Here is a 15,200-nt window from a genome sequence, read left to right on the forward strand (position 1 = left end):
ACTCTTGTTTTTCTTTTTCTGTTTTCTTTTATTTATCTTATTTTTTGAAACAGAGTCTCACTCTGTTGCCCAAGCTGGAGTGCAGTGGCATGATCTTGGCTCACTGCAACCTCTGCCTCTTGGGTTCAAGCAATTCTCCTGTCTCAGCCTCCCAAGCAGCTGGTTTTACAGGTATGCATCACCACACCCAGCTAAGTTTTTGTATTTTCAGTAGAAACGGGGTTTCACCATGTTGGCCAGTCTGGTCTCCAACTTCTGGCCTCAAGTGATCTGCCCACTTTGGCCTCCCAGAGTCCTGGGATTATGGGCATGAGCCACTGCACTTGGCCATGTTTATTTTTAGAGAGGGTCTTGCTTTGTTGACCAGGCTTGAGTTTTAGTGGTGCAATCAAGGCTCATTGCAGCCTTGATCTCCTGGCCTCAAGTGATCCTCCTGTCTCAGCCTCCTGAGTAGCTGGGACAACAGGCACATGCCACCACACTCAGCTAATTTTTGTATTCTTATTTTCCTAAGTTCCCCTTCCAAAACCTCCATCACCTTCCCCTTAACAAATCAAATGTTTTCTCGAGAGTCAGGGCAGTAACAGTCAGCTCCTGCCTTTATACGACAATGGACTTTGGCTGCCATCTCTCCCTGTCCATCTGATAGTGGCTTCCACCTCTCCTCAACTCCAGCCAACTCCCTGTGGTCCTGACAAGGTCAGAGCTCCTTGTCCCCACCCTTCATCAAGCCAGAGGATGCTCATGGTCCAGCCTAGCCAGCCAGAGTTCCCCATCCCTCTGGCTACAGTCACTGATTTAGGGATGTGACCGGCATGCAGGCTGGATTGCTCTGAATCTTTACTAAGAACTGGCCAATGGTGTTGGAAGGATGAAGGTCTATTTCCTCAATTCTGACCTATGGGGATCACGAAAGCTATAGCAGGGCACATCGCAAATTACCCCAAAACTTAGTGGCGTAAAACAAGTATTGATTAAGCTTATGGACTCTGGAGGTCAGGAATAGGCACAGTATGGTGCTGGCCTCCAAGGGCTAAGTGTCCCCAAAGAGAGGGATGCCGGCAGAACTGGATTGCCTTTCAGGACCCAGCCTCAAAAGTCATAGAATGTCACTTCCAACATTTTCCATTGGTTGAGAGGGTTACAAACGACACGTGGATGGGACGTATGTTGGTGTGGCCAAATTTAGAATACACAACCTGCCACAGAGCCTGGAGCTACTATCATCCTTGCTCAAGTGGATGAAGATATCTAAAAAGTGACATCACCACACGGAGGAAAGCAGAGCCGAGGGAAGGGGAGATATCATTTGAGTCCCTGGATCCAGTTGTGCCTGAAGCTAGACTCACCTGCAGGGGCTTTTTTCCAGTTAAGTGAGCTATTGATATTATTTTTGCTCGGCCGGGCACGGTGGGTCACACCTGTAATCCCAGCACTTTGGGAGGCCAAGGCAGGTGGATCACCTGAGGTCAGGAGTTCAAGACCAGCCTGGCTAACATGGTGAAACCCTGTCTCTACTACAAATACAAAAAATTAGCCAGGTGTGGTGGTGGGCGCCTGTAATCCCAGCTGCTTGGGAGGCTGAGGCAGGAGAATCGCTTGAACCTGGGAGGCATAGGTTGCAGTGAGCTGAGATTGCGCCATTGCACGCCAGCCTGGGCAACAAGAGTGAAACTCCATCTCAAAAATATATCTATATATTGATATATATTTTATAATATATAATATACATTATTTTTGTTGTAAGTGATTCAGGTTGAATTTCTGTCATTGGCAGCCAAAAGAGTCCTGAGCTCAGTAAGGGGCTCAACTGAGCCAGGACAGGATACTCTGGGACTTTTAGCAGCACAGAGCACTAGCTGGTGCTTGGAAATGATGTTTCCTCTGCTCTTGGCTAAGTGGAATCCCCAGGCCAGCATCCCCAAGATGAAATGTGCCCCTCCCTTTAGAAGGCAAGAATTGATGACAGTGAGTTTTTTGTTTGGTTTGGTTTGAAGTAGCCCAAATGTCCCCTTCCTGCCACGAGGGCAATGCAGCTTCTATCTTATGGCATCTGGGAGGAGCCATTTTTTATGGCCTGGATCACCGAGACGGGAAGAGGGAGAGCAAACCGGGGGATGGCACACTCCTCCAGGCTGGGTCCGGGGAATGTGGCTATTAGGAGGAGGACAGCCGCCACAGCAGGCCCCTGTGATGAACCATGCCTCCGCTTTTGCACACCTGATTCCTGGCTGTTAAACCCTGTAAAGAAGGTCTTATCCCCATGCTACAAAGGAGGAAACTGAGGCAGAGAGAAGGGATGCAACTCGCCCAAGATCTACAGCTGGGAAGTCGTGACACCAGGCATTGGATTTCTGACTGCCATGTTCACGGAGATAGGAAGGACACGGGGGAAGGGTGTTCAGGACGAGTTGGATGGAGGCTTGGCGTTGTGCAGCAATGGGGCAGCTGGCACATCTGCTGTGGCCACAGCAAAGAGAGGAGGGCCTGGGTGTGGAGTGGACACTGACCAGGCGGCCTTGCACTGCTCAGATAAATGAGGTTTGGCGTCCTGTCCTGCCGGGCCATTCTTTGGTGGCCTCTGTGTAAGCTGAGGCCTCGCTGTCCTGAGCCTGGCTTCTGGCTGCCGGTGAGTGGCTGTGGACCGTCTCCCGCTTGCCAGCATCGCCTTTGGTGCTTGGCTGGGTAGACAGAAATGAGTCACACTCCCCAGTCCTGCCCAAGCTCTCCCTCCCTCTGCCCGGGGCACAGGCTGCCCGGTGTAATCCAAAATAAGCAATGTGTGGCCCCAGGGGTTGGGATGGGCAGGGAGGAAGCCCCATTAGGCATTCCTGTGAGGACAGCGTCACTGAGCTGGGAGGACCCAGCTTTAGACTGGTCAGAGGACCGCATCCGTCAGAGGTCTGAGTTCGGAGATTGTCCATGCCTCCAATTAGCCACGTGGCCCTGAGCAAGTCCCCTCTGTAGCATGGAGGAAACTGATCCCGGCAGAACCTCCCAGCCAGAGGCTGCTTGTTAGTCCCCATCTTTCAGGCTCCCAACACTGTTCCACTCCGGCCTTCCTGTGGGCTGGCTCTCATCTTACCTCTCCACTCTGTAGCTAGCTCAGGTCCTGCCCGTAAACCCTTGCGTCCAGCCCCAACATGGTTAGCAAGAGCCAGGTTCCGTTGCTTGCAACCCCAAAACCCTAGCTGGAGGAGCGACTGAGGTGTGTTCCATGTCACCCCACCCGTCCCACCGCCCACATAACCGCCAGCATCCCGAAGGGGCCCAGCGTGTTCAGCCTTGCATTGTACAGTGTGTTCTGCCTCAGTCCCATGGTGGCTCAGAGCCCACCCCTGGCCAGAGCCAGGCTGAAGGAATCCATGCTGGGGGCATGGATCCAGCAAGGGAAGTGTTGCGAGAAGTGCTCTGCAGAGCCTGAGCAGGGAGCTTTCCAGAAGTGGGGTGCGGCCACATGTGTCAGAGCTGCTGGGGAGTGCCAGGCAGGATGTGATTAATGTCGGCCGTGGGTGTGACAGCCAGCCAGCCCTCAGCCTCATTGTCAGAGTGGCTCGAACGCAGCCCCCTTTCCTCTCCCCACCCCTGCTCACAGCACCCACCCCTGCTATGTGTGGCATCCCCTCTCCTCCCTCCAAGTGTACTGATCCATGGTGCCAGTCACTTAAAAATAGCATCCTACCTGAAACGTAGGCATGAGACGGAACTCCAGGAAAGGAGACAGCACCCCTCTTGTGCCTTGGAGCACACAGATTCTTGAGCAATCTGTCCCTGGTGCTGACAAGGAGGGCCTCTCGCCGGCGCCTTCTGTTCCACTGGGGAAGGGAAAGCCCGTGTTGTAAGTCCCCCCATCTAAAGCTGGCATCTCAGCTCCACAGGGCCATAGGGCTGCCCAACCAGGGTCACTCTTTCTCTGCCCAGGGGCTGGCCTGAGAACCATACCCTCCCCCTTCCTCACCCTCTCTGCTTCCCACTGGGGGAGCCCTGGCATGAGATGTGAGGGAGGGTGGGGAGGGAGGCTGGGATACTTATCCCCCATCTTTCTCCCTACAAGGTCAGCACAGGCTGGCCATGACCTTAACAGAAATTCTCAGGTCCCTCCACCTTCCACCTCACCTCCATCCCTCAGGGCCCGTTGGCCCATTGAATTGCGTTTCCTGCAGACTCTATTGTGTGGCATGGTGGGTAATAGTGAAAAAAAACCGAAGGAGCCAAAATGTCCAAAAATAGAGGTCAATTGAGTTAGTGACAACAGTGGCACTGAGGAATCCTTTGTGGAATTTAAGAAGGATCTTTTAGTCTGCTGTGTTTCTTTGAATCTGAGAAGCCATCATTTGTTATTTGTATTACCAGTGTCATCATAACCCCCATTTTAGGGGGGAAAAAAAAGAAATAGCTGGCACATTTCTTTTGACATTGATTCTAAAACACATCCTTACTTTGAAACATTACAAAGTAAAAAAATATGCAATATGGTAAAATGTAATGATTTGGAGAATGTGTTCTCCATATATTTTTAAGTTTTAAAAAAGTGGGTTAAGATATATTATGCCTGGTATTAAGAAAAAACTAACATGTCTATACATACATAAACTATCCTCATTCAACTATGACCAGATCCTATGAAATATACACATGCATACACACCCACAGGAAAAAGAAACAGGAAGGACAGCTAACAAAAGGCCAGTGGCGCGGATCGCCGCGCCGTGGGGCTACATGCACTTTCTTCTTTGTATTTTTCTATTTCCCATTTTCTGATTTTATAAGCAGACAACTAAAATAATAATCTCTACCACTGATTATCTCCTTTCCGCCTATCAGCACTTAACCTGTGCTGAATGCTTTGTAATGACGATCTCATTCAAGTCTCCAACACCCATGGGAGTAAGAATGCTGGTTACCAGCTATTCCACACACTGGGAAATGGAGGCTCAGGCAGCTATAAAGCAATGGAGCCGGGACCCAAACCCTGGTCATTCTGACTCCAGAACCGAGGCCCTTAACCATTATATTCTAGACACAAACTTCACCCTAAGGGTTTGCACCTTTTTGAGAATTTAACGCAATGTTGCAAGAGGGCACCCAAGGAAAATGTCACCCCTTTGCTGGCCAGGCAGGGACACTGAGATGCTGACCACAGAGAGCCAGCCTCACAGCACAGCCTAAACAAAGGCTTGGGGCTGCAGGGGAGGACCTCCAAGTCTCTCTGGTCCTGAAAAAGCAACGTGTCTTGTGAGCCAGTAAGGAGCCCCTTGGATGCCAGCCTGGCTGACGTAACTCAGGGCATCTCTGAGGCACTGTCAGCTGAGGCAGGACAAAGGAAGTGGATGTTCCCATGGCACCACGCTACGATGTCTTGACAAGGCCCCCTGCACCTCGTTTTGTGGTTCATTCTTATTTTGCTGAAAGGAGCTTTTCCGCTTCCTCTGAGATAAACATTCCTAACATCATTTCTTCTGAGCCGGCCAGCCAAGAGAACAGCTGGGAGCTCTCCGAGCACAGGCAGAGTGCATTCATTTTCTGGAACTCCGCTGAGAATCTTTTCTCCAGGAGACCCCAAGAAGCCATTGCAAATAAACAAAATGAAGTTGCTGGGGAAACTGGCGGCCAGGAAGCTAGAGCTGGTGTAGCCCTGGGGAGAAGAATGGAGTCAGCCCCCAGTGCTGGGGTTGCTGGTGCTGGGCGCTGCAGTTGGCGGGCGCTGGGCTCCTCTGGATCCCAGGCTCTGCCTGTCCAGAACAGCAATCCTGCACGTCCGCGAGGCTGCCCCATTGCACAGATGAGGAAGCTGAGGCTCAGAGAGGTGAAGCGAGGGGTCCCACAACTGGCATCCAGCCTGAGCATGGCCTCACAGCTCTCCCACTCTTAAAAGTCTCCCAGGTCACAGACTCCTTAAGAATCTGGTGAAAGTTACAGACCCTCTGCTTTAAAAAAAAAAAAAAAAAGTAATCCTGAAGTGCTGAGATTGTAGGTGTGAGCTGCCATGCCTGGCCCCAGTGAAAAAACATTTAAAGCTTCATTAATTAAGACCTGCCTGTCACCTTCCACCACGACTGTGAGGCCTCCCTAGCCACGTGGAACTCTCCAGCTCCAAGCAAGGCCTAGATTAAATGCCACCTTTTCTGTGAAGCCCTATTGGACTTTCTCAGGCTCGTTTTCCCTTTGGACTTCTAGAGCATCTTGTAGACAATGGCAATTATCAAGGCCTGGATATATACATTATATAATTGTTATGTAATTATTAATGTGGCACAGCACAACAAATACGGATCTTGCAGACAGAAAAAAAATTGTGGTCATCCTCTTTATGAACTTTCTTGATTGATTTCATAAAACATCTATAATCATTGTTTAATCTGAGTTTTTTTTTATTTTTTGAGATGGAGTTTTGCTCTTCTTGTGCAGGTTGGAGTGCAATGGCACAATCTCGGCTCACTGCAACCACTGCCTCCCGGGTTCAAGTGATTCTCCTGCCTCAGTCTCCCGAGTAGCTGGGATTACAGGCGCATACCGCAAACCTGGCTAATTTTTGTATTTTTAGTAGAGATGCGGTTTTGCCATGTTGGCCAGGCTGGTCCTGAACTCCTGACCTCAAGTGATCTGCCTGCCTTGGCCTCCCAAAGTGCTGGGATTACAGGCATAAATCACCACGCCCGGCCTGGTCTGGGTTTTTGGATAGCTCATAGACATGAATTCTTCAGGGCAGGAGTCTCCAAAGTGTTTAGATCATAGATCCTAATGGGCAAAACCTTTCCCGCAGGTGGCCACCATATATGTGTATCTTAAAACTTATGAATTATATATATGCATTGCTGCTCTCATATTTTATGTATAATCATAAAACTCCTGTCAAAATGGATTTTTTTTTTGAGATGGAGTCTTTCTGTGTTGCCCAGGCTGGAGTACAGCGGTGTGATCTCAGCTCACTGCAACCTGCACCTCCCAGATTCAGGATTCTCCTGCCTTAGCCTCCCAAGTAGCTGGGATTATAGGCACACATCACCATGCCTGGCCAATTTTTGTATTTTTAGTAGAGATGGGGTTTAACCATGTTGGCCAGGCTGGTCTTGAACTCCTGACCTCAGGTGATCCACCCTCCTCGGCATCCCAAAGTGCTGGGATTACAGGCGTGAGCCACTGCGCCCAGCCAAAATGGAAATTTCTAAATGCCGAGTAAAAGATTAAACAAACAACATTCTTTTTAATGTCTTGCTAATTATGATGGTTTCCATTACATCTCAAGGCAAAATATGCATTTGGGGTGAGGATTATTGTCAACAGGGATGGATTTTCTAATCTGTACTTCGAATAGACTTCTGGATAACTAGGGTTTGTGTGACTGTCCTCTGTGGGACTGACTGGCTAGCTGCCTTTGTTTTTACCTTGGGATATGTCTGATAAAGAGCTCAGGCCAGGAATAAGATAGCTGCTCTGATACGTTCTCACTCTTTACTCTGCTTGGCTTATTAGTGTTTCCTTCATTCCACAGTTCCTTTGTATGAATCTTTTTAAGGCATACATCGAATTTAGTTAGAACCAGACAAGATAGGTACCAGAAGCTACAGATCCACTCTACTAAGCCAATACTTCACCAACATATGTTGCCATATTTTAAGATCTAACACACAGGTGTGGTGGCTCAGACCTGTAATCCCAGCAACTTAAGAGGCCAAGGTGGGCGGATTGCTTGAGCCCAAGAGTTCAAGACCAGCCTGGGCCACATAGTGAGGCCCCATGTTTACAACAAATATAAAAATTAGCCAGGTGTGGTGGCGCATGCCTTTTTTCACAGCTACTTGGGAGGCTGAGGCAGGAGGATTGTTTGAGCCCAGGATGCAGAGATCGTGGTGAGCTGAGATTGCACCACCGCACTCCAGCCTGGATTGACAGACCCAGACCCTGTCTCATTAAAAAAAAAAAAAAAAAAAAAGAGCTAACAGACTGGCGATGGGACTTCACTGTGAAACTCCCATTCATCCTGCAAGTTTCCCTTGGGTGACAGCTGAGGAGCCACCACCGCAGTGCCACCAAGACTGAGGGGTGTCCCCGCCTGTGACCTCAGGTCCCCCTTCTGCCTCTTTAGTCCTCCATTCCTTGTTCCACCAATGACCAATATTAAATTCTCTCTGCTAAACTAACCAGTGCATTTTCTGTTTTTCTGACCAGACCATCATGGGTACAGAGAGCCAGCGTCAGCTCAGAGTGAATATTCATAAAACCTGATTTCTTGCTTAATCTTAAGCAATAATCTCATCTCTTCTTCCTGGTCCTCAGTGGATCACCTCACACCCCAGGGACATGATCACTGCTCTATAACATAGAACTCATGGGACATTTAATGTTAACTTAATTACCCCCATCATTGGCTTGCTGTGTACCCACTGTGGCACTGAATCATGGCACCCAAAAAGATGCCCACGTCCTAATCCCCAGAACGTGTGGATGTGACCTCACATGGTAAAAGGGACTTTGCAGATATGATTAAGTTACGTATGTTGGCAGGGTATGGTGGCTTATGCCTTTAATGCCAACACTTTGGGAGGCTAAGGTGGGAGGATTACTTAAGGCCAGGAATTCAAGATCAATCTGGGCAACATAGTGAGACCTTATCTCTACAAAAAAAAAAAAAAAAAATTAGGGCAGGGCACAGTGGCTCATGCCTGTAATCCCAGCACTTTGGGAGGGTGAGGTGGGCAGATCACCTGAGGTCAGAAGTTCAAGACCAGCCTGGCCAACATGGGGGAAATCTCGTCTCTACTAAAAATATAAAAATTAGCCAGGTATGGTGGCCCACACCTGCAATACCATCTACTGGGGAGGCTGAGGCAGGACAATTGCTTCAACACAGGAGACAGAGGTTGCAGTGAGCAGAGATCATGCCACTGCATTCCAATCCGGGTGATAAAGCAAGACTCTGTCTCAAAAAAAAAAAAAAAAAAGCCAGGTGCGGTGGCTTACGCCTGTAATCCCAGCACTTTGGGAGGCGGAGGCAGGTGGATCACAAGGTCAGGAGATCGAGACCATCCTGGCTAACATGGTGAAACCCCGTCTCTTCTAAAAATACAAAAAAATTAGCCAGGTGTGGTGGCGGGCACCTTTAGTCCCAGCTACTTGGAAGGCTGAAGCAGAAGAATGGAGTGAACCCGGGAGGTGGAGCTTGCAGTAAGCCCAGACTGCGCCACTGCACTCCAGCCTGGGAGACAGAGTGAGACTCTCTCTCAAAAAAAAAAAAAAAAAATTAGCTGGGCATGGTGGCTGATATGGTTTGGCTTTGTATCCCCACCCAAATCTCCTCTTGAATTGTAATCCCATAATCCCCACCCGCCATGGGAGGGAATTGAATCATGGGGGCAGTTTCCCCCATGCTGTTCTTGTGATAGTGAGTGAATTATCTCAAAATCTGATGGCTTGATAAGCGTCTGGTGTTTCCCCTGCTGGCACTCTTTCTCTCTTCTGCCACCCTGTAAAGAGGTGCTTTCTGCCATGATTTTAAGTTTCCTGAGGCCTCCCCAGCTCTGTGGAACTGTGAGTCAATTAAACCTCTTTTTATAAATTACCCACTCCCAGGCCGGGTATGGTGGCTCACGCCTGTAATCCCAGCACTTTGGGAGGCCAAGGCGGGTGGATCACGAGGTCAGGAGATCAAGATCATCCTGGCTAACATGGTGAAACCCTGTCTCTACTAAAAATACAAAAAAATTAGCCGGGCGTGGTGGTGGGCACCTCTAGTCCCAGCTACTCAGGAGGCTGAGGCAGGAGAATGGTGTGAACCCAGGAGGCAGAGGTTGCAGTGAGCCGAGATCGTGCCATTGCACTTCAGCCTGGCAACAGAGCAAGACTCCATCTCAAAAATAAATAAAAATAAATGGCCAGGTGTGGTGGCTCACACCTGTAATCCCAGCACTTTGGGAGGCTAAGGTGGGTGGATCACGAGGTCAGGAGATCAAGACCATCCTGGCTAACATGGTGAAACCCTATCTCTACTAAAAATATAAAAAATTAGCTGGGTGTGGTGGTGGGCGCCTCTAGTCCCAGCTACTCTGGAGGCTGAGGCCGGAGAATGGCGTGACCCTGGGAGGTGGAGCTTGTAGTGAGCCGAGATTGTGCCACTGCACTCCAGCCTGGGTGACAGAGTGAGACTCCATCTCAAAAAATAAATAAAATAAATAAATAAATAAATAAATAAATAAATAAATAAATAACCCACTCTCAGGTATTTCTTCACAATGGCCTGAGAACAGACTAATACAGTAAATTGGTATTGGTAGTAGGGTGCTGCTATAAGGATAGTTGAAAGTTCAGAAGTGACTTTGGAACTGAATAACTGGCAGAGGTTGGAACAGAGGGCTCAGAAGAAGACAGGAAAATGTGGGAAAGCTTGGAACTTCCTAGAGACTTGGAGAGCTCAGAAAACAGGAGGATGTGGGAAAGTTTGGAACTTCCTAAAGACTTGGTGAATGGCTTTGACCAAAATGCTGACAGTGATATGAAGTCCAGGCTGAAGTGGTCTCAGATTGAGATGAGGAACTTGTTGGGAACTGGAGCAAAGGTGACTCTTGCTATGCTTTAGCAAAGAGGCTGGCAGCATCTTGCCTCTGTCCTAGAGATCTGTGGAACTTTGAACTTGAGAGAGATGGTTTAGGGTATCTAGTGGAAAAAATTTATAAGCAGCAGAGCATTCAAGAGGTGACTTGGATACCCTTAAAAGCATTCAGTTTTATGTATTCACAAAGGCATGGTTTGGAATTGGAATGTGTGTTTAAAAGGGAAGTAGAGCACAAAAGTTTGGAAAATTTGCAGCCTGACAGTGTGATAGAAAAGAAAAACCTATTTTCTGGGGTTTTTTTGTTTGTTTGTTTGAGACAGAGTCTTGCTCTGTTGCCCAGGCTGGAATGCAGTGGCATGATCTCGGTTCACTGCAACCTCCATTTCCCAGGTTCAAGCGATTCTCCTGCCTCAGCCCCCTGAGTAGCCAGGATTACAGGTACCTGCCACCACGCCTGGCCAATTTTTGTATTTTTAGTAGAGACAGGGTTTCACCAGATTGGTCAGGCTGGTCTCGAACTCCTGACCTCAGGCGATCCACTCGCCTCGGCCTCCCAAAGTGCTGGGATTACAGGCATGAGCCACTGTGCCTGGCCAGAAAAGCCTATTTTCTGAGAAGAAATTCAAGCCAGCTGCAGAAATTTGCATAAGTAACAAGAAGCCAAATGTTAATTGACAAGACAACGGGGAAAGTGTCTCCAGGGCATGTCAGAGAACTTCACAGCAGCCCCTCCCATCACAAGCCCGGAGGCCTAGGAGGAAAAAGTGATTTCGAGGGGCAGGCCCTGGGTCTTGCTGCTCTGTGCAGTCTTGGGGCATGGTGCCCTGCATCTCAGCTGTGGCTAAAAGGGGCCAACATACAGCTCAGGCCATTGCTTCAGAAGGTGCAAGCCGCAAACCTTGGCGGCTTACATGTGGTGTTGGGCCTGCAGGTGCACAGAAGTCAAGAATTAAGGTCTGGGCCAGGCACGGTGGCTCACGCCTGTAATCCCAGCACTTTGGGAGGCCGAGGTGGGTGGATTACCTGAGGTCAGGAGTTCAAGACCAGCCTGGCCAACATGGTGAAACCCCATCTCTACTAAACATACAAAAATTAGCCAGGTGTGGTGGCACACCCCTATAATCCCAGCTACTCGGGAGGCTGAGGCAGGAGAATTGCTTGAACCCGGGAGGCAGAGGTTGCAGTGAGCTGAGAACATGCCACTGCACTTCAGCCTGGCCAACAGAGCAAGACTCTGTCTCCAAAAAAAAAAAAGAAAGAATTGAGGTTTGGGAACCTCCAACTAGATTTCAGAGGATGTATGAAAACACCTGGATGTTCAGGCAGAAATTTGCTGCAGGGGTGGAGCTCTCTGCTATGGAGAACCTCTGCTAGGGCAGTGCAGAAGGGAAATGTGGGATTGGAGCCCCCACACAGAGTCCCCATTGGGGCAGTGCCTAGTGGAGCTGTGAGAAGACAGCCACCATCCTCCAGGCCCCAGAATGGTAGATCTACCAACAGCTTGCATTGTGCGCCTGGAAAAGCCACAGACACTCAATGCCAGCCCACGAAAGCAGCTGGGAGGGGTGTGGGAGCCCACCTCTTGCATCAGCGTGACCTGCATGTGAGACGTGGAGTAAAAGGAGATCATTTTGGAACTTTAAGGTTTAATGACTGCCCTATTGCATTTCAGACTTGCATGAGGCCTGTAGCCCATTTGTTTTGGCCAATTTCTCTCATTTGGAATGGGTGCATTTACCCAATGCCTGTACTCCCATTGTATCTAGGAAGTAACTAACTTGCTTTTGATTTCACAGGCTCATAAGTGAAAGGGACTTGCCTTGTCTCAGATGAGACTTTGGACTTGGACTTTTGGGTTCATGCTGGAATAGTTAAGACTTTGGCAGACTGTTGGAAGTGCATGATTCTGTTTTGAAGTGTGAGGACATGAGATTTGGGAGAGGCCAGGGGTGAAATGATACGGTTTGGCTATGTGTCCCCACTCAAATCTCATCTTGAATTGTAAGCTCATAATGCCCACATGTTGTGGGAGGGACCTGGTGGGAAGTAATTGAATCATGGGGGCAGTTTCCCCCATGCTGTTCTCATGATACTGAGTAAGTTCAAGACCAGCCTGGGCAACATAGGGAGACCTCGTCTCTACAAAAAATTAAAAAGTTAGCTAGGCATGGTGGTACACATCTGTGGTCCCAGCTACTTGGAGGCTGAGGCAGGAGGATTGCTTGAGCCCCAAGAGGTCAAGGCTGTAGTGAGCTGTGAACACACCACTGCACTCCAGCCTGGGTGACAGAGTGAAACCCTGTCTCAAAAAAAAAAAAAAAAAAAAAAAAAAGAAAAGAAAAGAGGGAGACAAGAAGTTCAAAGGTAAAAGAAGGGGATGTGACTGTGGAAGCAGAGGACAGAGTGATGCGCTTTGGAGATAGAGAAGGAGCCATGAGCCAAGGACTGTAGGCAGCTTCTAGAAACTGGAAAAGACAAGGAAATAGATTCCCCTCTGAGCCTCCAGAAAGAAACAGCCCTAGCCAGGCGCAGTGGCTCACACCTGTAATCCCAGCACTTTGGGAGGCCAAGGCGGGAGGATCGCAAGGTCAGGAGATAGAGACCATCCTGGCTAACATGGTGAAACCCAGTCTCTACTAAAAATACAAAAAATTAGCCGGGTGTGGTGTTGGGTGCCTGTAGTCCCAGCTACTCTGGAGGCTGAGGCAGGAGAATCACTTGAACCCGGGAGGCTGAGCTTGCAGTGAGCGGAGGTCATGCCACTGCACTGCAGCCTGGGCGACAGAGTGAGACTCGGTCTTAAGAAAAAAAAAAAAAAAGAACCAGCCCTGATGACACCTTGGTTTTAAACTCATGGAACTCATTTTGAACTTCTGGCCTCCAGAACTGTAAGAGAATAAATTTGTGTTGTTTTAAGCAACTAATTGTGTGGTAATTATTGTTACAGCAGCAACAGGAACTTACACTCCTACCCAGAAGACAGCATAAATCCCGTAAATTTTTCTTTCCCAGTTCCCTGGAGAAAGCAAGGAAGCTCGCAAGACTTTGAAGCCTGTCCTCATAGAAAAATGTCAATCCCTACTTCAGTGTATGCTAAGATGCCAGCTGACTACTGGGAGATTCAATTCTCTTCATTAGAGTCCAACCCAGGCCACACCCCAAGGGCTGTAAGAAATTGGCACTGAAGTTTGTAAAACTCAATGGTTTCGGCCGGGCGCAGCGGCTCACACCTATAATCCCAGCACTTTGGGAGGCCAAGGCGGGTGGATCACTTGAGGTCAGGAGTCTAAGGCCAGCCTGATCAACATGGTGAAACCCCTTCTATACCAAAAATACAAATATTAGCTGGTGGTGGGCACCTGTAATCCCAGCTACTGGGGAGGCTGAGGCAGAAGAATCACTTCAACCCGGGAGGCAGAGGTTGCAGTGAGCTGAGATCGCACCACTGCACTCCAGCCTGGGTGACAAAGTGAGACTCCATCTCAAAAAAAAAAAAGGCAGAAAGACCACCAGCAAACAGTTAATAAGCACCAACTGCATACATGGTACCCATCTGGAGCTGGAAATCCAAAGTGACAAACTTAATCAGCCTCAGCCCTGACTCCTGCTCTCAAGGAGCTGAGAATTTAATTAAGCCTCTGGTTTATGTGTATTGGCATGGCCAGCTTCCACAGGAACACATGGGGGGGCTTTACTGTGTCTTACACCAGTGGTCGTTCTGATGGTTCTGTGCCAGCCTCCTAGTGAAGAGCCATCCCTGGGTAAGAGAAAAGAAGCAGGCATGCCAAGACTCAAATATGTGCAAGGAATCATACGTACGACATGTGGACCAGCAGGTTAAAAAAGTGTTAACCCCCAAACCACTCTCAAACAAAGTCTTAAGCTGAAGCCAGCTTTCAGATATGTATTATTATATAGTAATACATGTTAATATATATTAATATGCAATTTGTACATATTAGCATCAATAGGAACACAGGACCTACATATGCACACACATGTACTTACTAGAGCTGCTGTGGCTCAAATGCAAGGGCAAAATCCTCTGCTTCCTCAGGAATCCCCTAACGTGATGAGGATCACACAGCAAAGAAGACACAGGCTTCATCATCAAGCAGACCTGGACCTGTCCTTCTCGCTGTCTACACTGGGCAAGTGGCTTCTCTAAACCTCAGTTTCTTCATCTGTAAAAGGGGAAGAATGTTCTACTGGCAAGATTGTTGTGCGGGCCAAGGGAAATGAGGACATGAAACCCCAGCCACCAGCAGGTCTCAACAGGCGTCAGCATCCGGGACACCAGCCACAGCTGTGAGGCTTCAGGAACCTGGTCCACTTGACCCTCCTCGCCAGAGTCACCATCCAGACCCAGCCTTGACCCACAGCCGCTCTGGAGGGGACGGGGCAGTGGGATTTGGGATCGGGAGAACTTGGTTCAAGTCCTAGCCCTGCTGGTATCTGCTGGCCTCCCCCAGGGCCTGATTTCCCCGTCGGCCAGGTAAGGATAATGATCTATTGATTTTAAAGCATGTCACCAGGGCTAAATGAGGCATGAAAGTGCTTTGTCCCCTGGCACTTCTGCCCTTCCTGTTTTTGGTGCCAAAACCCTTAGCCTGGCCAGGCTTGGTGAGAGGCACCGTGAGGCTGCTAGCCT

General features: G+C 49.0%; 1 long non-coding RNA gene across 1 annotated transcript, besides 1 other annotated feature; it reads right to left on the reverse strand.

Moving 5' to 3' along the window:
• Window positions 1–1,715: 1,715 nt before the first annotated feature.
• On the reverse strand, window positions 1,716–14,698 carry LOC101928039 (uncharacterized). The gene is made up of 3 exons (XR_008485582.1): window positions 14,558–14,698; window positions 3,683–3,815; window positions 1,716–2,681 (listed from the first exon to the last, which is right to left on the reverse strand). It is a non-coding gene; the product is annotated as an uncharacterized LOC101928039 (long non-coding RNA).
• Window positions 14,699–15,200: an enhancer, noted in NCBI's record as "H3K4me1 hESC enhancer chr15:22538563-22539064 (GRCh37/hg19 assembly coordinates)". NCBI's record gives its function as "activates a minimal SCP1, AML or CMV promoter by ChIP-STARR-seq in naive H9 embryonic stem cells {active_cell/tissue: H9 hESC(naive)}" and the evidence as "EXISTENCE:reporter gene assay evidence [ECO:0000049][PMID:30033119]".

Source organism: Homo sapiens, chromosome 15, assembly GCF_000001405.40.
Source record: "Homo sapiens chromosome 15, GRCh38.p14 Primary Assembly".
NCBI classification, from domain to species: domain Eukaryota; kingdom Metazoa; phylum Chordata; class Mammalia; order Primates; family Hominidae; genus Homo; species Homo sapiens.